At 54.8% G+C, this 23,596-nt stretch overlaps 1 long non-coding RNA gene across 4 annotated transcripts, besides 6 other annotated features; it reads left to right on the plus strand.

Moving 5' to 3' along the window:
• Window positions 6,991-7,854: an enhancer, noted in NCBI's record as "H3K27ac-H3K4me1 hESC enhancer chr9:132332093-132332956 (GRCh37/hg19 assembly coordinates)". NCBI's record gives its function as "activates a minimal SCP1, AML or CMV promoter by ChIP-STARR-seq in naive H9 embryonic stem cells {active_cell/tissue: H9 hESC(naive)}" and the evidence as "EXISTENCE:reporter gene assay evidence [ECO:0000049][PMID:30033119]".
• Window positions 7,855-8,718: an enhancer, noted in NCBI's record as "H3K27ac-H3K4me1 hESC enhancer chr9:132332957-132333820 (GRCh37/hg19 assembly coordinates)". NCBI's record gives its function as "activates a minimal SCP1, AML or CMV promoter by ChIP-STARR-seq in primed H9 embryonic stem cells {active_cell/tissue: H9 hESC(primed)}" and the evidence as "EXISTENCE:reporter gene assay evidence [ECO:0000049][PMID:30033119]".
• Window positions 7,867-8,161: an enhancer, noted in NCBI's record as "tiled region #9056; HepG2 Activating DNase unmatched - State 1:Tss, and K562 Activating DNase unmatched - State 5:Enh". NCBI's record gives its function as "activates a minimal TATA promoter and a strong SV40 promoter by Sharpr-MPRA in HepG2 and K562 cells {active_cell/tissue: HepG2 | K562}" and the evidence as "EXISTENCE:reporter gene assay evidence [ECO:0000049][PMID:27701403]".
• Window positions 8,719-9,580: an enhancer, noted in NCBI's record as "H3K27ac-H3K4me1 hESC enhancer chr9:132333821-132334682 (GRCh37/hg19 assembly coordinates)". NCBI's record gives its function as "activates a minimal SCP1, AML or CMV promoter by ChIP-STARR-seq in primed H9 embryonic stem cells {active_cell/tissue: H9 hESC(primed)}" and the evidence as "EXISTENCE:reporter gene assay evidence [ECO:0000049][PMID:30033119]".
• On the plus strand, window positions 12,584-21,730 carry LOC105376292 (uncharacterized). 4 transcript variants are annotated; one of them, NR_188669.1, is made up of 5 exons: window positions 12,584-12,775; window positions 17,228-17,496; window positions 17,656-17,735; window positions 19,824-19,945; window positions 21,550-21,730. It is a non-coding gene; the product is annotated as an uncharacterized LOC105376292 (long non-coding RNA). The 4 variants fall into 4 exon arrangements; NR_188668.1 differs by adding an exon at window positions 14,698-14,830 and having other exon boundaries at window positions 17,228-17,735; window positions 19,824-21,730; NR_188666.1 differs by having other exon boundaries at window positions 17,228-17,735.
• Window positions 17,759-17,808: an enhancer, noted in NCBI's record as "active region_29113". NCBI's record gives its function as "activates an Ori minimal core promoter by ATAC-STARR-seq in GM12878 lymphoblastoid cells {active_cell/tissue: GM12878}" and the evidence as "EXISTENCE:reporter gene assay evidence [ECO:0000049][PMID:35858748]".
• Window positions 20,951-21,508: an enhancer, noted in NCBI's record as "H3K27ac-H3K4me1 hESC enhancer chr9:132346053-132346610 (GRCh37/hg19 assembly coordinates)". NCBI's record gives its function as "activates a minimal SCP1, AML or CMV promoter by ChIP-STARR-seq in naive H9 embryonic stem cells {active_cell/tissue: H9 hESC(naive)}" and the evidence as "EXISTENCE:reporter gene assay evidence [ECO:0000049][PMID:30033119]".
• Window positions 21,731-23,596: the final 1,866 nt, after the last annotated feature.

The raw sequence follows: 23,596 nt of genomic DNA on the forward strand, positions 1-23,596 counted from the left end.
ATACGGCTCCCTGGTATCATGAGTGTTTAGAATTAAAGACCCTTAGAGATCAATAGATGCTAGAAGAGACTTTTCCCCTCCCTGCTTAAGGACCAGACAGATCCACTGAGGAGAACAATTGTCCCCCCGCCCACCCAGCTCCTGTCTCTCAATCTTCCACCTCTTCCAAAGCACAGGCTGAGGTTCCCTTATCTGCCTAGAGTCCGGACCTACCAAAGAAGAAGACAAAGACCTCTGGGCCCTTCTCTGAGTTTTCAGTAACTAAACCCATATCACAGGAAGGAAGACAAAGTCGGTCAACGAATCTGGACAGACTTTTGTCACAAATGATTGTCTGCTCTGCAGGCTGAATAGACTTACCATTGGATGTTCTTTGAGCCCATCGAATTCCCCAAAAATTCGGGTTTTTTTGTTTTTTTTTTTTTTTTTGAGACAGTCTTGCTCTGTCTCCCAGGCTGGAGTGCAGTGGCACGATCTCAGCTCACTGCGACCTCTGCCTCCTGGGTTCAAGCGATTCTCCTGCCTCAACCTCCTGAGTAAGTGGGACTACAGGCACGTGCTACCATGCCTGGCTAATTTTTTGTATTTTTAGTAGAGATGGGGTTTCACTGTGTTAGCCAGGATGGTCTTGATCTCCTTACCTTGTGATCCACCCACCTCGGTCTCCCAAAGTACTGGGATTACAGGCGTGAGCCACCGTGCCAGACCCTAAAAATCATTTACTATCCCCTTAAAGTCACCCATGCTTCCCGATATCCCTTTCCCCTAAGAAGTAGGGTATGCAAGCATCTGTATCCCACTGGGATATGGGGCAGTCACTCTGACTCTCCCCATGTGCAATGGAATAATAAATTTATATCCTTTTTTTGTATCAATCTAACTTTTTTTTTTTGAGACGGAGTCTCGCTCTGTTACCCAGGCTGGAGTGCAATGGGGCGATCTTGGCTCACTGCAACCTCCGCCTCCTGGGTTCAAGCGGTTCTCCTGCCTCAGGCTCTTGAATAGCTGGGATTACAGGCGTGCATCACCACACTCGTCTAATTTTTGTATTTCTAGTAGAGGTGGGGTTTCACCATATTGGTCAGACTGGTCTTGAACTCCTGACCTCGTGATCCGCCCACCTCGGCCTCCCAAAGTGCTAGGATTACAGGTGTGAGCCACCGCGCCCGGCCTAATCTGACTTTTTGTGAGGTGATTTTTCAGCAAACCTTCAAGGGTGAAGGAGAAGCTTTCCCTTCACCCTTACAACAGTCGTGTCCATTATGGTCACAATGCACATACACTTATATACATACGGAGACGTGTGTGCAACGTGTCCTCATGCTTAGAAAAGCCTAACTAGGCCAGGCACGGTGGCTCACGTCTGTAATCCCAGCACTTTGGGAGGCTGAGGCGGGCGGATCACAAGGTCAGGAGTTCAAGACCAGCCTGGGCAACATAGTGAGACCCCATTTCTTAAAAAAAAAAATATATATATATATATATAAAAGTTAGCCAGGCATGGTGGCACACACCTGTCGTCCCAGCCACTCGGGAGGTTGAATGGGAGGATCCCTTGAGCCGGGCAGATGGAGGTTGCAGTGAGCCGTGATCCAGTCTAGGCAACAGAGATCCTGTCTCAAAAAAAAAAAAGGCTAACGAAAGGTGCACACACGCATTCCTCCAGATACTCACCCAGATATACATGTGTCGCCTTCACTGAAAACTATGAGGGCCAGGGCCATGACCCCCCTAGCTCACAGCTGCGTGTCTGATCCCTGGTACAGAGGTTTGCTAGGCAGAGTACCGGGAATAGTCTAGGAAAAGCCTCAGGGGCAGGAGTATGAGAGGTGAGTGTGAGGAGTGGCCAGGTGTCCCATGTGGCTGGAAATGAGACACAGTTCGGGGGGCAGGGGAGGAAGGGAAAAACAGGACTGAGGATGGGCCTGGTTGGCCATGGCTTTGAGTGTCATGCTAGGGAATGGGTATTCAGGGCCCAGCAGCTCCGTGAAGTTCATCTTCCTCCTACTCTCCTCTTCCTCCTCTCCTTCCCTCCCTGCACTCCTCTGCTCACCCCCATGTGTCATGATGGCAGATGGGATGTCAGATATTGATGAAGGGGGCAAACACAGGGCAGGAGGGAGGTGGGTGCCATGGAAAACACGTGGCTTTGTGGCCTTGTAGCCAGGTAGGCAGGTCTTGTTTGAAATCCTGGCTCTATCTCCACACTGGAAGACCTGGCTGAGTCACTGATTTTCTGTGTGCCTCAGTGTTCCTAGGGCCAGGGAGAAGACCAGATGGTTTTGTGTTTTTTTTGCTGTTGTTATTGTTTTTGAGATGGACTTTCGCTCATCGCCCAAGCTGGAGTGCAGTGGCGCAATCTCAACTCACTGCAACCTCTGCCTCCCAGGTTCAAGGAGTCTCCTGCCTCAGCCTCCCAAGTAGCTGGGATTACAAGCATGCGCCATCATGCCTGGCTAATTTTTTGTATTTTTAGTAGAGGCAGAGTTTCACCATGTGGGCCAGGCTGGTCTTGAACTGACCACATGTGATCTGCCCACCTCAGCCTCCCAAAGTGCTGGGATTACAGGCGTGAACCACCACACCCGTCAACCAGATGGTTGGTATTTTTTGTTGTTTGTTTGTTTTTAAGACAGAGTCTCACTCTATCACCCATGCTGGAGTGCAGTGTTGTGATCTCAGCTCACTGCAACCCCTGCCTCCCGGGTTCAAGCGACTCTCCTTCCTCAGCCTCCCGAGTAGCTGAGATTACAGGTGCCCACCACCACACCCAGCATATTTTTTGTATTTTTAGTAGAGACGGGGTTTCACCATGTTGGCCAGGCTGGTCTCAAACTCCTGACCTCAAGTGATCTGTCCCCCTCAGCCTCCCAAAGTGTTGGGATGACAGGCGTGAGCCACTGCACCCGGCCAACCAGATGGTTTTGATCCTGCGATGCCATGGCTAATTCTCTCTCAGTGGCCCCTGTCAGCAGGTGCATTCTATAGTCACAGGAATCCCAGAAACCAGCCAGGTGTGCTCTTCAGACCTGGGGGAGCTGGAGACAGAGCCCTCTCCAGCGGGTACATGCCTGGGCTCCTTCGGGACCCACTGCAGTCAGGTGAGGGCTCAGTTCCCCCAGGGCCTCACTCTTGTCTTCTGCCAAAGGGGATGTTTGCGCCTACCTCACAGGCTGCGGTCAGCCACCAGCAGCTCAGAGAAGTGGCATTTTTTTTTTGAGACGGAGTCTTGCTCTGTCGCCCAGGCTGGAGTGCAGTGGCGCGATCTCAGCTCATCACAACCTCCGCCTCCTGGGTTCAAGCGATTCTCCTGCCTCAGCCTCCTGAGTAGCTAGGATTACAGGCGTGTGCCACCAGGCCCGGCTAATTTTTATATTTTCAGTAGAGATGGGGTTTCACCTTGTTGGTCAGGCTGGTCTCGAACTCCTGATCTCATGTGATCCGCCCGCCTCAGCCTCCCAAAGTGCTGAGATTACAGGCATGAACCACTGCACCCAGCCCCCAGTGGCACTTTTTGTTGAAGTGTGACACATACACAGAAATGCATCCCAGGTGTTCAGTTCTGTGAATCTTTACAAAGTGAACTCATCTGTAATAACCATGTCCCAATCAAGAATAGAATATAGTGTGGTCCCCAGAAGCCAGGGGAGGACCAATTTTTACAGGACATAAGGCAGCCCCAGTCCCAACAGGCCAGCTTGTCCCTCTGTCATTTTCTGTGTCCCCTTGCAGCGAGCAAGGGGAGTCCAGAGGGGAAGAGGCAGGAACAGTGACCCCCAGCACTGGCCTCCAGCCCTCCCGCCCTGCCTCTCCTCACCATCAGGCCAGCGGAGGGGCTACCCATCGCCTCCCCTGTCACCAAGGAGACCTTGTTCTGGATCCTGAGGACGCCTCTAGAATCCCATCTGGGGAGCCAGGAAAGCTGGGAGAGGGAGAACACAGGGCCCCTTTGAGCCGCTTGTTGGACACCGCCCAAGGACTCACGACTTATAAAGGAAGACTTGAACCCAGGGCTGTCCCCACCAAAACCCACAGCCACTACAGCATTGGAGGCTATTACAGAATAGGAAACTGAGGCTCAGAGAGGCCAAGAACAAAACCAGACCTCCAAAGCAGGACTTCTGCGTGCAACACCCATGGGCGAACAGGAACACGCAGGCTTCCAGCCGAGGGGCCGGACTTGACCCTGTCCCTCCGCGATCGAATACTTTGTGTTCCTCCGCCTTCGGGAAGGGGCGTAACCTCCTTCGCAACACCCAAGCCCACCACGGCCTGGCCCTGCCAGCCTCATCCCCCTCACCTGTCCTCCGGCATTCTCTGCCTCCAGCATACCAGCCTTTCTCTGTTGCTGCAATGCTCAGAGCTCCTTTTGAACTTGGGCCTTGGCTCATGTCGTTTCCCCGCGAAGCCTGCTCTTCCCTGCCCCTGCCACGTCCTACCTTCAAATGTCACTGACTCTGGGAGGCTTCCCCGGTGACCCACCCACCCCAGCGCACATATCCTGTCAGTCCCCTTGAACGCCCCCCAAGGTGTAAGTGCACGGCCATACAATGGTTTGCTTAATACCCATCTTGCTCCGAGAGAGCTGTGACAGGGGCTGTCTTGTCCTCAGCTGTATCTGCTGTGCCCAGCACAGTCCTGGCACACAGTAGATGCTGGATGAAGATGTGCTGAGGGCCGAGCGCAGTGACTCACGCCTGTAATCTTAGCACTTTGGGAGGCTGAGTGGGCGGATTGCCTTAGCTCAGGGGTTCGAGATCAGCCTGGGCAACATGGTAAAACCCCCATCTCTGCTAAAATACAAAAAACATTAGCCAGGCATGGTGGTGCACACCTGTAATCTCAGCTACTCAGGAGGCTGAGGCGGGAAAATCCCTTGAACCCGGGAGGTGGAGGTTGCAGTGAGCTGAGATCATGCCACTGCACTTCAGCCTGGGTGACAGAGTGACTCTTTCTCAAAAAAAAAAAAAAAAAAAAAATGTTCTGAGACTCTGAGATGCATGAGGCTGTGGCTGGCAGGCAGAGGGGAGCCCGAAGGAGCCTTGAGGGACATAGGACCAAATACCATCTTTGTAGGAGGCCTGGGGAGGGGCAGGGCCTTGCTCAAGGTCACACCACCTAGTGGAGCCTCAGGATTGGAACTCACATCCCCTGCTCTCCAGCCTGGCGCCTCCCTTCCAAATGCAGCCTAGTGCTGGGAAAGGAGAGGGTGGCAGGCTGGCTCTGGGCAAAGACACTCCCCTTCTCCTCTTTGCTTCCCTCTCCTTCCTCTGTCCCTCCCCACTCTTCCTCTCCAACCAGGAGGCTGCCGAGCCAATGGCTCAGCGAGGGCTGGGGAGCCCTGACCTCCACCCACGCTCTACGATCTGTCAGCACCACTCTGCTAAGACCTCCCAAACTTCCGCACCCCCGCAGGCTGACAGGGCTGCAGGTGCCAGCGCTGACCTCCCGCTGCTCCTGTTCCTCTCCTTCCGCAGGCACCCCTCGCCCCCCACCGCCACCTCCAGCCGGGTTCTGGGGTCCTCCTGGGCCACCTGCTTACTGTGTGTCCCTGGACACGGCGTCTCCCCTCGCTGAGTTAGTTTCCTCATTTGTAAAACGGGGATATGGCCCGTCTCCTAGAGTGACCGGGAAGATCGGTGGTATCAACGCAAACTACAGCCCGGCAGCTTCCAGGCGAACTCACTTCTCAGGACGCCTCTCCTGCTGTCCTCTCAAAGCGGGGGACGAAGCCACCACCACCCAGTTTACAGATGGGGAAACTGAGGCTCAGGGAGATCTGGAAACCTTCCCGGGCAGCTGGGCTCCGAACCCAGGGCTGCGAGCACAAGGGCTGGCTCCCGCCCCCGGCCCTGGTCCCTCCTTCCCCGGGGCATGGCCCGGCCGTGCCAGGCGCTCGGTGACAGCCCCCGCGGGGGAGGCCGGGCTGGGAAAGGAGAGGGCAGCGGGCGGGGGCGCCTGGCCGCGCGGGGTCGGCCGCGGGTCGATACGGCGGCAGGATGAATGGGAGAGGGGAGCGCGGGCGGGAGGAGGAGGGAGGAGGAGGGGGAGGAGGGAGAGGCCGGAGCAGGGGGAGGGCCCGCCCCCGCCGCCCCCCAGGCCCCCGCCCCGCCCAGCGGGCTTGGCCGGGTCTGCAGCCCTCAGCGCCAAGCGCGGCCCCGCGGCCCCACCGAGGGATCGATAACTAATTTCACCGCGGCAGCCGCCCCAGTTTTTTCCCGATAATTGCGCGCCGGCAGCTGCGAGCAAGGCCCCCAGCCCGGCGCGCAGCCCCGCCCGCGCGCGATCAATTGACACCGCCACCGGGCGGCAGGAAAACTCATTTTTCTCTCCCTCCCCGGCTCCGGGTGGGCGCGGGCTGAGCTCTGCCAAGGGCCGGGGGCTACGCGGGGCCGGGGCCGGGGCCGGGGCCGGGGCCAGGCCAGGGAGGGAGGGCAGGGCCCGAGGAGGGGGCGGGGGCGCGGGCGCGGGTGTGGGAAGGAGGCTTGCAAGGAATCCGAGGAGGCGGGGTGCCTCAGTTTCTTCACTCTACCACAGGGGCGTGGCCGAAGGCGTCAGGGACGTGGGGTGCGGGCGGGGCTGTCCCAGCCCCTCTCAGCTGTTGGCGGACTGGCTGGCTGGTGGGAGGAAGGGCTAAGTCAAGCGCCACGGCCTGAATGCGTGGGTTCGACTCTGGACTCCCACCAGGGACCACTGTGTGAGGTTGCATCCGTTCCTCTGGACTCCCACCAGGGACCACTGTGTGAGGTTGCATCCGTTCCTTCCCTTCGTCTCTTCCTCTCTGAGCCTCAGTTTCCCCATCTTCTGAAAGGGGCCTGGCATATCCTGGGCAGGCAGATGGTGCATCAGAGGCAGTGATGCCCACAAGGAAGTGCTCCCCACAGGTGGCTTGGAGGAAATCCTCCTTCCTCAGCACTCATGGAGGCCCCCTGTGGGCCAGGCACTGTTATAGGCCTTCCGGGTGAGGACCAAGCAGTGACCACAGCTGACAAAACCCCTACCGTTGTGGAAGGAACATTCTACTGAGGCCATGGACGTACAATACCCAAGTAAGCAGTGAGAAGATGCCACTTGCCATGGAGAAAAATGAAGCAAGGTCAGCAGGACAGGGTGTGGGGTGCAAAGGCAATGCAGCCCCCAGGACCCATGGTGGGCCTCACCCTAGGCCCTCCTTGCAAAGCTCAGAGCTGCTCACTCCCAAACTGCCGGTTGTTCAAGGTCATGGGAAACCTGCAGACTTGGCATTTTCCAATGAGGATGGCCAGGAGGAGAGAGACCAAGAGGAAGGAGAAGCCAGGAGGTGGGGTGGGACAGTCTCCCTCTGGAAGAGTCCATAAGAGGGCCAGAGAGAGAGAGAGGGGTGGGGACTGGAGGGCACCAGGGCAAAGGGGGTACAGTCAGAGCTCCAATGGACACAGTGTCCTGGGGGGTCAGGTCAAGAGAGACTTGGGTTTGCTGGCCTGGTCCCAGCTGGGCCAGTGAGGCCCAGGGAAGGGCAGGGGCTCGCCCAGCCACAGTACTTATGGGGGACAGAGATGGGCTCCTAAATCCTGCCACCAGGCACAGAGAAGGGCAAGAGGGGCCAGAGAGGAAAGGAGGAAAGAGACTCATGGAGCGGGGGTGCCATTCTCTGTTTAGAGGGGTCAGGAGCCCCAATTTGCTTCCCAGAGGCCAGCTAAAGCTTCCTGGGAGCACCATGGGTGGTGCTGGGACTTCTACAGGACTCAGCATGACTCAAAGGGCCCTGGGGAATGTGTTCTGTTCCCCAGTCCCCCACCCCCCAGCTACCAGAATGACAGAGGCTCCCCGATGGAGGTGGGTAAGCCGGGCAGGGGTGGCGGCCTAAGGCTGCTGGGGAAGTGGGGTGTTCCAGGACTGAGCAGACCTCCTCCCCCGCCTCGGTTTCTTCATCTTAAAAATGGAGCTGGTGTTGAGGTGCTGAGGTTCTGTCAATCTTTCTTCCCTCCAAATTCCTGGCACGCCCAACCCCACGTCTGGGTTGAGAGTAGTGACTCAGCAGAAAATGAAGGCTACTGCTAGCAACCAAATGAGGTTAGCAGGGGGACTGGCAGGACGCCGTGGGCTGGGATTCGAAACAGCACATAGCTGGGTCTCACCCGCCTGAGGCCCCATCTATCCAACCACCTAACATTTACTCATCATTCAGCAAATATTTAGTGAACACCAACTATGTGTGAGGCACTATGTGGGGGAGTGAGTGTAAGGTCCCCCCGCTTCCCCATCTCCTTCCTCTCCCCGCAACCCCCACGTCTCCACCTTCATTTTCTTTTGGGGTATGGTCAAAGGAGGCCTGGATTGGGAGTCAGGACTAGACTCAGGCCTGCTGGTGACCTAGGCAGGCCCCTTGCCCTCTCTGTGCCTTGGTGGACCAATGGTCATTAGTGGACTCTGTGTCCTTCCTAAGAGAGGAGAGCCCTGGATTAACAGCAGCTGTGGGCTGGGGGCCTCACCCCTGGGTCTCATTCAGTCCCCATGAAGTGAGATGAAGGAACAGAGACCAAGATTCACCCAGGGTCCCAAAGCCAGGAGGGAGAAGAGGGCAGAGCTCAGGTCCGTCTGACACCAGAGCCCTGCCCACTTGTCTGAGCTGGAGGGGAAGGAGTGCCCATCAGGAGAAACTTTTGGATCCTGGATAGAAGCTGGGATGTGGGGTAGGGACTAAGGTGCTCAGAGTCCCCTTGTCCTGCCCCTCAGTTAGTGGCTTTGGCCACCAGCCATCTCAGAAAGGCCTCTGTCGGTCAGAGGAGGAGCTGCCCCAGAAGGCCATGTGGGGTGACCTTGGCCTCCTCGACGTTCCCTGGGCCAGCACAGGCACAGAACGATACTCTTTTTGTAAAGAGACATGTACTCACTGGGTCAGCAGTGAGGCAGGGAAGACAGCCTCACAGCTACAAGCACAGGATTTTTAAGGCTGGTCCCCAACCCAGCTCTGCTGCCCGCTAGCCCTGGGTCCTTGGGCAAGCTGCCTCCTCCTCTGAGCCTCAGGCTTCCCATCTGTAAAATGGGCATAGTGGCAATTCGGTAGACCCACTGTGCCAGATCCTGTGCTGAGCCTTCTCTGTATCTGCACTCTGAGCCCTGTGAGCAGCACCCGCTATTCCACAACCCTCGTTCTTCTCGTCTTCACCTCGGAATCCAGCCATGGCAGTAGTTCTGTGCCACCTGACAGATCTCCATGCCGCCACTGCATCCAGAATGCAGCTCGGAATGCCCCATCTGGAGATGTGGGATCCTGCCAACCTAGGCCCCGGACCTAGGGACACAGTTTATGGTGAGGAAGGATCCCAGTGGGCACATGAGCGTGATGCCCACCGGTCTCACCCTGGAGCCTGGGCCTGATGGAATGTAGGGGCGGCCAGCTTGTGCAGCACCCCAAGCACAGAGCCAACAACCAGTCACAGGTGCCATGTCCCCAGAAGCTGGAACACATGGTCCAGGGACAAGTTGTAGAAATAGGATTGCCCGCCCCCCGACCCCATTCCACCGGGGACCTCCTTGTGGATTTGTGCTTCTTGTCCCTGCAACTTTAGGTGTGTCAGATGAGAGGCCCCAGCTATCTGGGACAGGGGAGAGGGGAGAGAGGGCAGGGGAGAAGGGAAGTAGGGGAGGGCTCCACTGGGCACAGGGTGGATCCCACCGAACTCAAACCTGTGACTGCATCTGTCACACTGGGGCCTTTGTGCCAGGGACCAGGACCAACATGCAAAGAAAGGGGTTCCCACTCAGGTGGGTTCTGAGCTCTTCTCGGTAACCCTCTAGCATGAGCTGTCTGCAGGCACTGCAGATACCAGCACCTCGAAGGGGACTCTGACGGTGGACCCAGCGGGGGGCAGGGGCGGGGCTGAGTGCTACAAGGGGCGGACTGTGTTGAGCAGCTCACCTGAACGCTTCAGACCTCTTGGCTTCACCTCCTAATCCAGGCCCAGCTGCAGTAAACAGACCTCACAGGCCTTGACAAGCTCCATACAGCTGTGAGCTGACAATGGCCCGCCCTAGGCCCCTGTGCTTGCCTCTTGCTTCCAGCCCGGGGCTTTGCTGATGCCACAGTGTGGGATCCCCCCACCTCCGCCCCTCCACAGTAACCCACTCGGCAGTTACACATGCTCAACTGCAAGTGCAAAGGTGTGAACACCCTACAGGCCAACGCTTCCTCAAAGGCAGCAGAGCCCTGGAACCAATGCTCCCTCCTTTCTTCCCCTGGGCGGATGGTTCTGAGATGCATTTTGCAAGGCAGCTCCGATGATCCTGGGGGATCTGGCACCCCAGCTTCCATAATGGTGAACTCAGCAATGCACGTTTGCATTGGCTTTCTTTTTTTTTTTTTGAGACAGAGTCTCGCTCTGTCACCCAGGCTGGAGTGTAGTGGTGCGATCTCAGCTCACTGAAACTTCCACCTCCCAGGTTCAAGCAATTCTCCCACTTCAGCCTCCTGAGTAGCTGGGACTATGGGCGGGCACGTGCCATCATGCATGCTCAGCCTTTCTTTTTTTCTTTTCTTTTTTTTTTTTTTTTTTTTTGAGACAGAGTCTCGCTCTGTCACCCTGGCTGGAGTGCAGTGGCACAACCTTGGCTCACTGCAACCTCCGCCTCCTTGGTTCAAGTGATTCTCCAGCCTCAGCCTCCCAAGTAGCTGGGATTACAGGCACCTGCCACCACACCTGGCTAATTTTTGTATTTTTAGTAGAGACGGGGTTTTGCCGTGTTCGCCAGGCTGGTAATTCTTGTATCTTTAGTAGAGACAGGGTTTTGCCATGTTGGCCAGGCTGGTCTCTAACTCCTGATGCCAAGTGATCCACCCACCTCGGCCTTCCAAAGTGCTGGGATGACAAGCGTGAGCCACCGCGCCTGGCCTTTGCATTGGTTTTCTTGCCGCTCCTGTTTTGCTCTTCCCACTCCCCATCCCTCACTCTTGCCCCTAGGAGTACTCGTCCCAAACAAACTACAAGTACAACAGCCTTTGAGGCCTACTTGCAGGGGAGCCCAAACCAAACCAAAGCAGATGTTACAGGCTGAATTGTGCTCTTCCAAATTCATATGTTGAAGTCCTAACCCCCAGGTCCTCAGAATGTGTCTGTATTTGGGGACAGGGTACTATGGTCTGAATGTTTGCATCCCACCAAAATTCAGGTTGAAACCTAATTTCCAGTGTGATGATATTATGAGGTGGTGGCTTTTGGGAGGTGAGAGCTCTGCCCTTACGAATAAGATTAATGCCTGTATCAGTCCGTCTTCGAATTTCTGTCAAGAAACACCTGAGACCAGCTAATTTATAAAGAAAAGTTTGATTGGCTCATGGGTCTGCAGGCTGTACAGGAAGCATGGTGCTGGCATCTGCTCAGCTTCTGGGGAGGCCTCAGGAAGCTTCCAATCATGACAGAAGGTGAAGGGGGAACAGGTGTCTCACGTGGCCAGAGCGGGAGGAAGAGAGAGTTGAGGGGGAGGTACCACACACTTTTAAACAACCAGCTCCCATGAGAACCCACCACTGTCAGGAAGACAACACCAAGCCATGAGGTATCCACTGCCAAGCAAACACCTCCCACCAGGCCCCATCTCCAACTTTGGGGATTACATTTTTTTTTTTTTTTGAGATGGAGTTTCACTCTTGTTGCCCAGGCTGGAGTGCAGTGGCGTGATCTCAGCTCACTGAAACCTCCACCTCCTGGGTTCAAGCGATTCTCCTGCCTCAGCCCCCCAAGTAGCTGGGATTACTGGCGTCTGCCACTATGCCTGGCTAATTTTTTGTATTTTTAGTAGAGAGGTGGTTTTACCATGTTGGCCAGGCTTGTCTTGAACTCCTGACTTCACGCGATCTACCCACCTCGGCCTCCCAAACTGCTGGGATTACAGGCGTGAGCCACCGTGCCTGGCCAGGGATTACATTTCAACATGAGATTTTGGTGGGACAAATATCCCAACCATATCAATGCCCTTATTAAAGAGGCTCCAGGGGCCAGGTGCGGTGGCTCACGCCTGTAATCCCAGCACTTTGGGAGCCTGAGGCGGGCACATCATGAGGTCAGGAGATCGAGACTATCCTGGCCAACTTGGTGAAACTCTGTCTCTACTAAAAATACAAAAATGAGTTGGGCGTGGTGGCGCATGCCTGTAATCCCAGCTATTCGGGAGGCTGAGGCAGGAGAATTGCTTGAGCCAGGGAGTCGGAGGTTGCGGTGAGCAAAGATTGCGCCACTGCACTCCAGCCTGGTGACAGAGTAAGACTCCGTCTCAAAAAAATAAATAAAAAGAGGCTCCAGGGAGCTTGCTTACTCAGTCCACCACGTAAGGACACAGCAAGAAGGCACCATCTATGAACCAGGAAGCAAAACAGTCCTCATCAGGCACCAATCTGCTGGCACCTTGATCTCGGACTTCCCAGCCTCCAGAACTGTGAGCAATAAATTTGTTGTTTTTAAGCCGCCCAGTCTGTGATGTTTTGTTTTAGCATCCCAGACTAAGTAAGGGTTTAAAAGAGGTGATTAAGTTAAAATGAGGTCATCAGGGTGCACCCCAGTCCGACATAGCTGATGTCCTTATAAGAAGAGGAAATTAGGACACAGACATATGCCATGTGAAGACGCAGGGAGAATGTGACATCTGCAAGCCAAGGAGAGAGGCTGCAGGAGAAACCAGCTCTGCTGACACTTTGATCTCAAGCTCTGGCCACCAGAACTGTGAGCAAATAAGTGTCTGTTGTTTAGGGCACCCTGTCCATGGCACCTTGCTCCGATAGCCCCAGGAAACGAATCCACAGGTATGTTCTCTTATCATCTCCATTTTACAAGCCAAGAAACCCAGGCTCTGAGAGGCAAAGGATTCACCCAGAGTCCCACAGCTAGTAAGAGGCAGAGCCCGTATTCAAACCCGAGTCTTTGGGCAGCAGGGCTCAAGTCCTTGGCGATGGGGCTGCCAGAGGGCCAAGCTGGTCTTCAGACCCTCAGGTCCAGAATTCTCCCAGTCTCCTCCCCTGCGTTTGGTGGCTTCTCCCTCCAGCCACCCGCCTCCTTCCTTCACCTTGTTGGAGGCAGCTCCACGTCCCTGCCTCTGAGTCCCTGCCTCTGAGTCCCTGCCTCTGAGCTGCTGGCTTCAGCATTGCGGGGGAGCAGCCTTTCTCCAGCTCCTTTCCTCCCGGCCCTCCACTGAAGGCTCTTCTGCCAGCTGCACACGTGTACACACACACACACACGCACACACACACACTTGCAAACTCACAAACACACTTGCAAACTCACACACACACACTTGCAAACTCAGTCACTCTCACACTCACTCCTCACACCCTCACACACTCCTTACACACGCACTCCTCGCACACACCTCACATGCACTCACACACACGCACACACTCCTCACACACTCCTCACACACACACTCCTCACACACACGCACTCCTCACACACGCACTCCTCACACACACACTCCTCACACACACTCCTCACACACACACTCACACACATGCACTCCTCACACACGCACTCCTCACACATGCACTCCTCACACTCCTCACACACACGCACTCCACACACACACTCCTCACACACGCACTCCTCACACACACTCCTCACACACACTCCTCTCACACACGCACTCCTCACACACTCACACACTCTTCACACACACACTCCTCACACACGCACTTCTCACACGTACTCCTCACACACACACTCCTCATACACTCATGCACTTCTCACACACACTTCTCACACACTCACACTCCATGCTCACCCCTTTCCAGCAGCCACCCGAGGCTCTCCCTCCTGCCGTCCTGAATGTCTGTTGCCGCACAGTGGCTTTGGGGGCTCCCCTGGGGACCTCCACGCCCCCACCTGACCCTGCCCAGGTGGGTGCCCTCCTCCTGTGCCGTACCAAGGCCTGGAGCGGGGAAGGGTGCTGCTCAAGGAGGCGCCACAGCCCTCGGTGGGGCTGGGATTTGGCCCTGGTCTCGGGGCCAGCCCATCTCCAGGAGTGGCCTAACTCAGAGAATGAGACTGATTCCAAAATGTCGCAGCTAACGCAGGTTCTTCCCTGAGAGCAGACAGCAGTGTGGGGTGGGGGCTGGCATGTGCAGTCGGGGGTCACCCTGCCCTTCCTGCCGCCCTGGGGGCTCCTGTGCGGCTGCCTGGCTCCTCAGGCATCCGGGCGCCCCGCAGAGACCCTCAGAGACTCCCACCACGTGGGGAGGGAACGCGGGCAACCGCACGTGTCATGGGCCAGGCTCCTTGCCGGCTGGAGCCTCGGCGCAGAGAGCCAAGCCAGGCCGGAGTGCGTGGTCTAGCCGAGGAAATACGTGCAATTCTTCACAAGCGGATGTCACTTCCTGCCTGTGACAGATGCTGGGAGAGGCTTAGGCAGTCAATAATGGGGTGATTGGAGCCAGTCTAGGGGGAGGCTGGGGAAGGCTTCCTAGAGGGATTGGCACCAGGGCCTAGATCTGAAGAATGAGTGGGAGTTGCCTGGGTGAAGGAAAAGGGAACAGCATTGCAGCTGGAGGGGAACAGCATGTGCGAAGGGCCTGTGCAGGGAGGGACCCGGGAAGTAAAGGGGCAGAGAAGGCCTGCCAGGTGGAGCCCAGTGACCTGGGGGGAGGTGAGTCTTCCAGATGAGGCTGGAAAGGCTCCCAAGGGCTGGGCCGTGCAAGGCCCTAAGGCCATGATGAAGACGCTTGTCTTTATCCAGCACAGGTTTGTGCTCAGAAGCCCCTACACCAGCTGCTGCGTGATGGAGAACAGGAGTCAAAGCACGGAGGCCGGCAGAAAATCAAGAGGCCGGTCCTGTGCATGGGCAAGAGGCCTCAGGGATATATTAGCTGGTAAGAATATTAAAGAAAAAAAAAGAAAAAAGACCAAAGACTCCAGCACAGCAGTGACTATAACATTCAGTCTTTATTTCAAAACTGGAGGAACCTTGGAGATTCCTGGTTTATGGACTTGTTTTAAGATGAGGAAACCAGAGACCAGAGAGAGGAAGTGCATTGCCCCTCAGTGGGCAAAAAATATTCATTCCACAAATATTATTTATTTATTGTTATTATTATTATTTTGAGACAGAGTTTTGCTCTTGTTGCCCAGACTAGAATACAATGGCACGATCTTGGCTCACCACAACCTCCGCCTCCCGGGTTCAAGAGATTCTCTTGCCTCAGCCTCCCGAGTAGCTGGGATTACAGGCATGCGCCACCACGCCCAGCTAAATTTGTATTTTTAGTAGAGATGGGGTTTCTCCATGTTGGTCAGGCTGGTCTCAAACTCCCAACTTCAGGTGATCCACCCGCCTCGGCCTCCCAAAGTGCTGGGATTACAGGCGTGAGCCACCGGACCCGGCTATTTATTATTTTTGAGGCAAGGTCTCACTTTGTCACCCAGGCTAGAGTGTAGTGGCAAGATCTCAGCTCACTGCAATCTCCGCCTCCCAAGCTCAAGTGATCCTCCCACCTCAGCCTCCCATAGTGTTGGGATTACAGGCGTAAGCCACCATGCCTGGCCCTAATAAACATTTATTGAGCACTGACTAGGTGCCCAGGCACTGTGCCAGGGACAGGGGATATAAAGATGAGTGAGATACCTGTCCTGCCCTACTAGGGGTGCACTAGGAACAAACTGCATGGTCTGAATGCAGGAAGGAGGAGAGGAAGAAAGGCAGGAGGGAGGCGGGAGAGAGGAAAGAGATGATAATGATGATGACAAAATTCTACTTACTGAGCATTTTCCAGTGCCAGATATTGTGTCGAGCCTTCTGTAAGCAGGAGCTTGTTAATTGCTGCAAGACTACTCAGAAGGGCTGCTATGCCATTTTACAGATGTCAGGATTAGGGTCAGGGAGGGGAAGTGACCCGCTCCAGGCCACACAGTCATGGGCTGCCTCACCCCAGGCATGAGTAAGGGGCAGGGCCCGCCGTCTGGGCTCCGAGGCCAGGCCAGGCCCTTATCCCCTCTTCCCCCAGAGCCGCTGCTCTCACCTCCTCCTGGCCTGACCAGGGGCCCAAGGAACGAGCTAAGGGGATGGCGGCTAGAGACACCAGAAGGGCCACTGGGCTGGTGACCCTGGGAAGTTCTGCTCCTTCCCCATCCAGCGGAAGGGCCCAGGCTGGGCAGATGAAAGTCACAGAGAGGTCAGGAAGGGAAGATGAAGCAGAATGTATTGGCACTGCTGGCGTCCACCTCCCCTCTCACCCTCTACTCTCTCCATCCTCCCTCTCCCCCAACAACAAGGCAACCTCAGTAAGTCCACAGTCTCCACAGGGAAAAGGGGTCTGGATGGGGAGTGGGCACCCTGTCCATCCCCCTTTCTCCAGCCCCTCCCCAAGGCACAGCCTTGGCCAAATCTGATATCTCCCCACATCACCTTTGCACACGTGCTGCAGACCCCTTCTGCACTGACAGCCTCCTTGCTCATGCATCCAGATGTGTGCATTCATCCATTCATTCATTCATCCATTCAACAAGTGTTCTAAGCCTCTACTCCGGGCTAGGCCCCATGTTGGGCACTGGAGACAGGGGGCACATGGCCTCAGAGTGAAGAGAGATGTCATGAGTGATTATTGTCGATGTAGTTAGTGCTGAGACCAGGGGAGCAAATGGGGGATGGTGATGCCATGGGTTCAAAGGGGAGGGGCAATCACTCTGGTGGGGTAGCAGTCAGGGAAGGCTACCTGGAGGAGGTGATAAATTCAAAGACTGAGTAGGAGCTAGTCAGGAAGGAGGACTAAGGACAAGTGTTCCAGAAGGAATGGCATGGGTGAAGGCCTGGACTGCCATGAAACATGGCCCGCTTCAGGAATGGATAGGAGGATGGCAGGCCTAGGTCACATGGTACAAACTGGGGAGTTGGGGGGATGAGGCTGAGAGGCTGGCAGGTGCCAGGCCGGGCAGGGTGGTGTTGGCCATGGTGAAGATTTCAACTTCTCCCTGGAGCAATGGGGGGCTCTGAGCAGGGGAGTAACATGGCAAAGGTGAATTTCAGAATGCTCATCCGGGCTGCAGATATACCTGCACACACATACCTCATGTGCCTTCTTGTACACACATGCCTGCAACCTGTACCTGTACACACATACCTGTATACGAGCACTCCTGCATACATGCATACCTGCACACCCAGACACCCACAGGGGTGCACCTGAGCGCCCAGCCCTGAGCTGAGCTCTTCACAAACATGGCATCCCATTGGGTCCTCCAGGTAAGCTCATCCTATTATCTCCATTTTACAGAGGAGGAAGCCGAGGTTGGGAAAGGTGGAGGGACTTGCCCAAGTCACACAAACGACAACTCAGCAGAGCTGAGAATTGGCACCCAGGGCAACTGGAGTCCATCCTGAGCTTGTCACTGCTGGGCTCTGAGACCTCCTGGTGAAGAAGGACAGTGGCAGAGACAGCCCGACCCAGAGAAACCCAGCAACGCTACTTTCTAAGGGCATTTTTCCCTCTCATTTGGAATCCTGAGCCTCCTGCTCGTCCTGTAGGCCACACCCAGCAAACAGGTGGGTTTCATTTCCTGGAGAAACCACAGATGGAAAGTCCCAGCCATGGGCTCCGTGTGACCTGGTGGCCTTAAGAAGCTCCCCCCACCGCCCCTCAGCCCTTTAATCATTTACAAAGCAGGGCCACACAGAGCATCTATTTTCTTTCTGGAACATCAGAGCTGGCTGGGAACTGGGAGAAGAGCTGGAGCAACAGCCTGCATCCATTTCCTCTTGCTGCAATAACAACTGATCACAAGGTCAGTGGCTTAAACAACACAGATTTACTCTCTTACAGTCTGAAGTAAGAGCCAAGATGTCAGCGGGGCCGTGTTGCTTCCAGAGGCCCTAGGGAAATCCATTTCCTTGCACTTCCAGCTTCTAGAGGCCACCTGCGTTCCTTAGCTTGTGGCCTCATCCTCATTCTTCAAAGCCAGGCATGTAGCATCTTCCGGCTCCTCTCTCTCGCTCTGACCTTCCTGCCTCTCTGTTACAAGGATCCACTTTTGTGGCTAAAATGGGTCCATCCTCCCCAGCCTGAATGTGAAGACCCCCTCCTCCACGGCACCCCATTGCCCAGGACAAGGATGGGGCCCATCACTGCTGCCCAGAGGATAGGGAGACCCTCTCCAGGTTTCCTGGGAAGGCATCAAGATGTTCCCAAGGCTCAAAGAAAAAAGAAATGGCTGGGCATGGTGGCTCATGCCTGTGATCCGAGCTCTTTGGGAGACCAAGGCAGGAGAACCACTTGAGCCCAGGAGTTTGAAACCAGCTTGGACAGTGATGGGCAAACCCCATCTCTACAAAAAATAAAAAAGTTAGCTGGATGTGGTGGTGCACACCTGTAGTCCCCAACTATTTTGAAGCGAGATCACTTGAGGCCTTGAGGCTGGGAGGTTAAGGCTGCAGTCAGCCATGACTGCTCCACTGCACTCCAGCCTGGGCAACACCGTGAGCCCTGATCTCAAAAATAAATAAATAAACAAATAAAGATGCTCCCAAGGGTGCTGGGCTCTGTTGGCCCAGGCCTGTAGTCCTGCTCCCTTGCCAGAAGTAAGAGCTGGCCTAAGGGAGAGCTGAAGCTTGCTCTGACGGGGACTCCTAAGTCCCTACAGATTCTGCAGATTCTCCTAGGGATCGGTACCTCCTGGTTTGGGGAATGGTCCCAGGAGCTGATCAGTTGGGCCGCACTAGGCTCTGGACCTCCCTTCTGGGGGGAAGAGGAGGGGACTCCAGGGCCTGGGACCAAGGGCATGTCCAGGGAGCTTGGAGCAGGGAAGCCCTGCCCTGCCCTATACCTGCTGAGCAAGAAGCAAGAGCAGAAGGACTCTTGCTCCCTCTCTGAGCCTCAGGGGTCTGTTAGGAAGGTGGGGATACCCTCAAAGCCTCCCTCCTGGGTCCTGTGGGTCAGTGCAACCTGTTGAGCATGCCCTGCCTATTTAGAAGAGGCAGGGACGCCAGGGACAAATCTTGTGCTAAGCAGACATGGGCCTTCATGGGGCTTCCATGGTACCATGAAGACAGCCATGGCCCTGCCTGGGTCCTGGAGAGAAGGGGATGAGAAGGAGAGCTGCTGCTCGCTTGCAGCTCAGCTGACACCCAACACAAGCAAAAAGATCTTTCTGCTTCCAAGGCACTGAGACACGGAGGTTGTTCATTACCACAGCACAATCCAGCAAGAGGTGACCAACACACTCTCCCCAGCTGCATCTAGTTGCAGCTGGTGCACTCCCTGTAGGCCCTCTTTCTCACTTCTGTCTGCTGTTAGGGACTCTACAGCCCAGGACCCCAGGCTGGAGAAATCAGCAAGCTAGTTGATTTCTCCCTCTCCCTCAATTTCCACAATTCTTCAGTTGCTGGGGTCACACGACTCTGCAGTCCAGAACTCCTCCCCCTTAGCGATCGGCTCTTCCCCAACCCCTCCCCAACCTCTCTTCCCTGCAGCCCGAGAACTCCCTGCTTGCTGGGCATAGTGTCTGCACCCCAATTATGGGAGCAGAACAGAGGTCCCTCACCTGGGGTATGCCATGAGTAGAACTCAGGACATTCATGAACTTGGATGGAGAAAAAAAAAATCCCATCTCCATTTTCTCTAACATCTAACTACAGTGTAGTATTTCCTTCCATGATGATCATACCCAGCAAAGCCAGAAGTCAGTGGTACCTGCGGCACTGTTACCAACAGAAATCACAGCTGTCTTCTGATCACAACAAAGCTGGTGCAGATTTCTCAAAATCTCACTCATCACTCCGTTGCAGACCCGCCGCCACATCTTGTTAATGCTTAGTAAAGAGGCACATTTATTATCACATCACAAATGTGATTTATTTTTTCTTTTCTTTTTTAGATGGAGTCTCACTCTGTCAACCAGGCTGGAGTGCACTGGCGCAATCTCGGCTCACTGCAGTCACCTCCTCTCAGGTTCAAGTGATTCTCCTGCCTCTGCCTCCTGAGTAGCTGGGATTACAGGTGCATGCCACCACGCTCTGCTAATTTTTGTATTTTTAGTAGAGACGGGGTTTCACCGTGTTGGCCAGGCTGGTCTGGAACTCCTGACCTCAGGTGATCCGGCTGCCTCAGCCTCCCAAAGTACTGGGATTACAGGCATGAGCCACCACACCTTGCCACAAATGTGGTTTTTAAATGTGGTTTTTAAAAATATCTTGATAGCCATATTTCCAGTGACTCGGTTTCCTGTGTAATCCTACGTATTTGTTATGCATGTACAAAGAAGACAGGGCATGAAGGTGTCACCAGATGCCACAGCAGCCCACAGCACAGAAAAGGTCACAACCACCTACTTCAGAGAAAGGCACTGGGGACCTTGGCTATGTGGACAAGAACCAGGAGCTTGGGCTTCCCAGGCACAGCAGGGAAGCCTGCAGGGGCCTGACAGGTGGATAACCTAGTGCCCAAGGCAGGGCTGGGTGGAGGAGAGAGTGGCACCCTCTGATTGTCTGAGGTCTCTATCTCTAGAGGACAGTACCACAGATTGGAAGCCAGGTCTTTCCAGAGTCCCTGTGACCTCCTCTTTCTGCATGAAACCCAGATTGAGTAGGAAAATGTCCCCAGGAGGAAGCAGCCACTGCCCAAGGGAGACAGCTAGAGACTCGCTGGGCAGGCTACATCCCTGGGCTTCTCTCGGACCCGACAAGAGCCTGTCCATCCCTTCACCTCCACTAAGATCAGGGCACCCCAGGAGTCTCGGCAGGGCCACCCCAGGCTCTGCTCTGCCCTGGAAAGGTCCTCGTTTCACACTGACTCAGTTTCAGTTTTGGAAGGAGGTCAGAGGTTGCCTCCATGTCCCTTCTCCCCACTGGTTCTCTGGAACCCTCCATCATAGATGTCCCTGCCCTTCCTTCCCTGCTCAGGAGCAAAACCCCCAACCCCCAGGAGCTGGTCTCTCTAAGTCCTCTTGGATCAGGCCAGGCTCAGCCCTGGAGGCCACAGCTCAGGCCCTGAGCCAGCCCAAGGGGCAGGGCGAGGAACCTACATTGTTGTGTGCCCAGCCCCTTTAAGGGGCCCATACGGACAAGAGCAAATTCAGTAGGTTGCGTCATCCACTCTATAGTGATTAAACAGGGATGGTGGAGAAGTAGAGAAGTGTCAGCTCTGGAACCAGGTGGCCCTAGATTGAAATCCTAGCTCTGCTATTTACCAGCCAGGTGGCCTTGGATAGGTGATTTGACCAATACCGTTCCTCCGTTTCCCCACCTTGAGTGTTATTGCAAGGATTAAATGAGTTACTACAAAGTAAAGTACTAAATACATATCAGCTATTATTATTATTACTACTACTATTATTATTATGAGCCAGGAGATGGGGACTGTGACATAGGCTGCTGGTCTCTTCTCTCCTCTTCCATAAGAATAGTTCACCCCATCCTTAGCTGGGTGTATGGCCACCTGGCCCAAAACTACATTTCCCAGCATCCCTTGCTGCTAGATGTGACCATGTGATCAAGTTCTGGCCAATGAGATGCCAGGAGAAGTGGTTTGGCCCACTTCCTGGGAGTTTTCTTTAAAGGACAGGGGCAATGCCTTCTCCTTTTCTTCTCCTTTCTGCTGACCAGAATGTGAGCATGGAGTCTGGAGCAGGAGCAGCTGTTGTGCACTGTGAGGTTGAAGCCGTGTGTTGAGAATAGCAGAGCAACAAAGCAATAGGAGCTGGAGCCCCTAGGGGCCATGAAGCCCCTACCAGCCCTGGACTGCTTAGATTTACTTGAGCAAGAAATAAACCCTTGATTGTTTAAACCGGTGTGATTTGAAGTCTGCCCTGTTGGAAGCACAACCAGATCCTCTTTAACGAGGCACAGCAGAGAGTAACATGCACAGCCCCTGCCCTCTGGGAATCACTGTCTAGTTGGGGAGAGAGACAATAATCATGTAAACAAAGAAGGAAGTCGTGGTGGTTATGAAAAGAGCTATGAACGATGGGCCAGAGAACGTGGTGGGGAGTGGAGGAGGCATGGACCGACCCTGGGAGGACTCTTGAAGAAGGAGGCAGCTAGCTACCATCTAACTGGGAAGAGCAGGGAAGAGTGTCCCTGCAAAGGGAATGAAGGAGCACAGAAGGAGGCCGCTCAGCTCTGTGATTCAGAGCACAGGCCTCAAGAGTCGGGGGTCCTGGGCCCCTGGCCTGGCCCTGCCTCTCCCCCGGTGTGGGACCTGGGCAAGCCACTCCCCTTCCTCTCTCTGAGGCAAAGTGCTCAGCAAGTTCCTGACACATAGTAGATGTTCAACGAGAGATCATGGTTTTGGGTGGGGTGTGGTGGCTCACACCTATAATCCCAGCACTTTGGGAGGCCTAGGCAGGCAGATAGCTTGAGCCCAGGAGTTCAAGACCAGCCTAGGCAACATGACAAAACCCCGTCTCTACAAAAAATACAAAAATTAGCCAGGTGTGGTGGCACAGGCCTGTAATCCAGCTACTCAGGAGGCTGAGGTGGGAGGATCTCTTGAGCCTGGGAGGCAGAGGTTGCAGTGAGCTATGATTGTGCCACTATACTCCAGCCTGGTGACATAGCAAGGAAGGAGAGAAAGAAAGAGAAGAAAGAGTGAGAAGAGGGAAAGAAGGAAGGGAGGGAGGGAGGGAGGGAGGGGAGGGAAGAAGGGGAAAAGAAGGAATAAAGAAAGATTACTGTTTTAGAAGACACAGGTGAAATGTGAATGAAATCAGAGATGGGGTAAAGCCTGGGAGGGTCTGTTAGGTCTTTATAGCAGAGGGAGCATTTAGATTGGGTCCTGAAGGTTGTATAGGAGTTTTACTAAGATAGTGGGAAGAAAGGATATTCTAGGGGAGTGGATCACAGGCCCTTTCTATTCCCCATCCACTTTGGGGCCGGCCCCATCCACCAGGCCTCTTCAGATCCTAGCTTCCAATTTCTGTTTCTGTCTCTGGCCAGTCCATTCAAGGTGGGGTCTGAAATCCAGGTTGAGATGTTCTTCTAACCCCAACTAAGCCCTCCTGCTTTTTTTTTTCGTTTTTTTTTTTTTTTCTGGTGGTGGAGGGAAGGGGACAGAGTCTCACTTTATCTCCCAGGCTGGAGTGCAGTGGCACAATCTCGGCTCACTGCAACCTCTGCCTCCTGGGTTCAAGTGATTCTTCTGTCTCAGCCTCCCGAGTAGCTGGGACTATAGGTGTACACCACCATGCCCAGCCAATTTGTGTATTTTTAGTAGAGACAGGTTTTTGCCATGTTGGCCAGGCTGGTCTAGAACTCCTGACCTCAGGTGATCCGTCCACCTCGGCCTTGCAAAGTGCTGGGATTACAGGCATGAGCCACCGAGTTTGGGCCCTCCTGCTTCTTTGGGTCCCATCCTATGAGTTTCCTCAACTGGGGGATGGGGACACTGTGGTCTGGATTCTATTGGTGCCCAGGTCCTGCAAGACCCCGCTTAACCAGGGCCCTAGCAGACCCCCTGCCACCACTTTACCTCTGCCACATCAAACTGCCCTTCCCTCAACAGCAAGCCCTTCTTCTGTCTCCCCTCATAAAAGCCAGCTCACAGTTCCCACTGCCCCCTACTCTTCCCCTCCCTCCACTCACTCTCCTTAGCCCTAACCTTTGCTTTCAGCTCAACCATGTCACTTCCTCCCAGAAGCCTTCCCCTGATGTC

Source organism: Homo sapiens, chromosome 9 (assembly GCF_000001405.40).
Source record: "Homo sapiens chromosome 9, GRCh38.p14 Primary Assembly".
In the NCBI taxonomy this organism is placed as follows: Eukaryota; Metazoa; Chordata; class Mammalia; order Primates; family Hominidae; genus Homo; species Homo sapiens.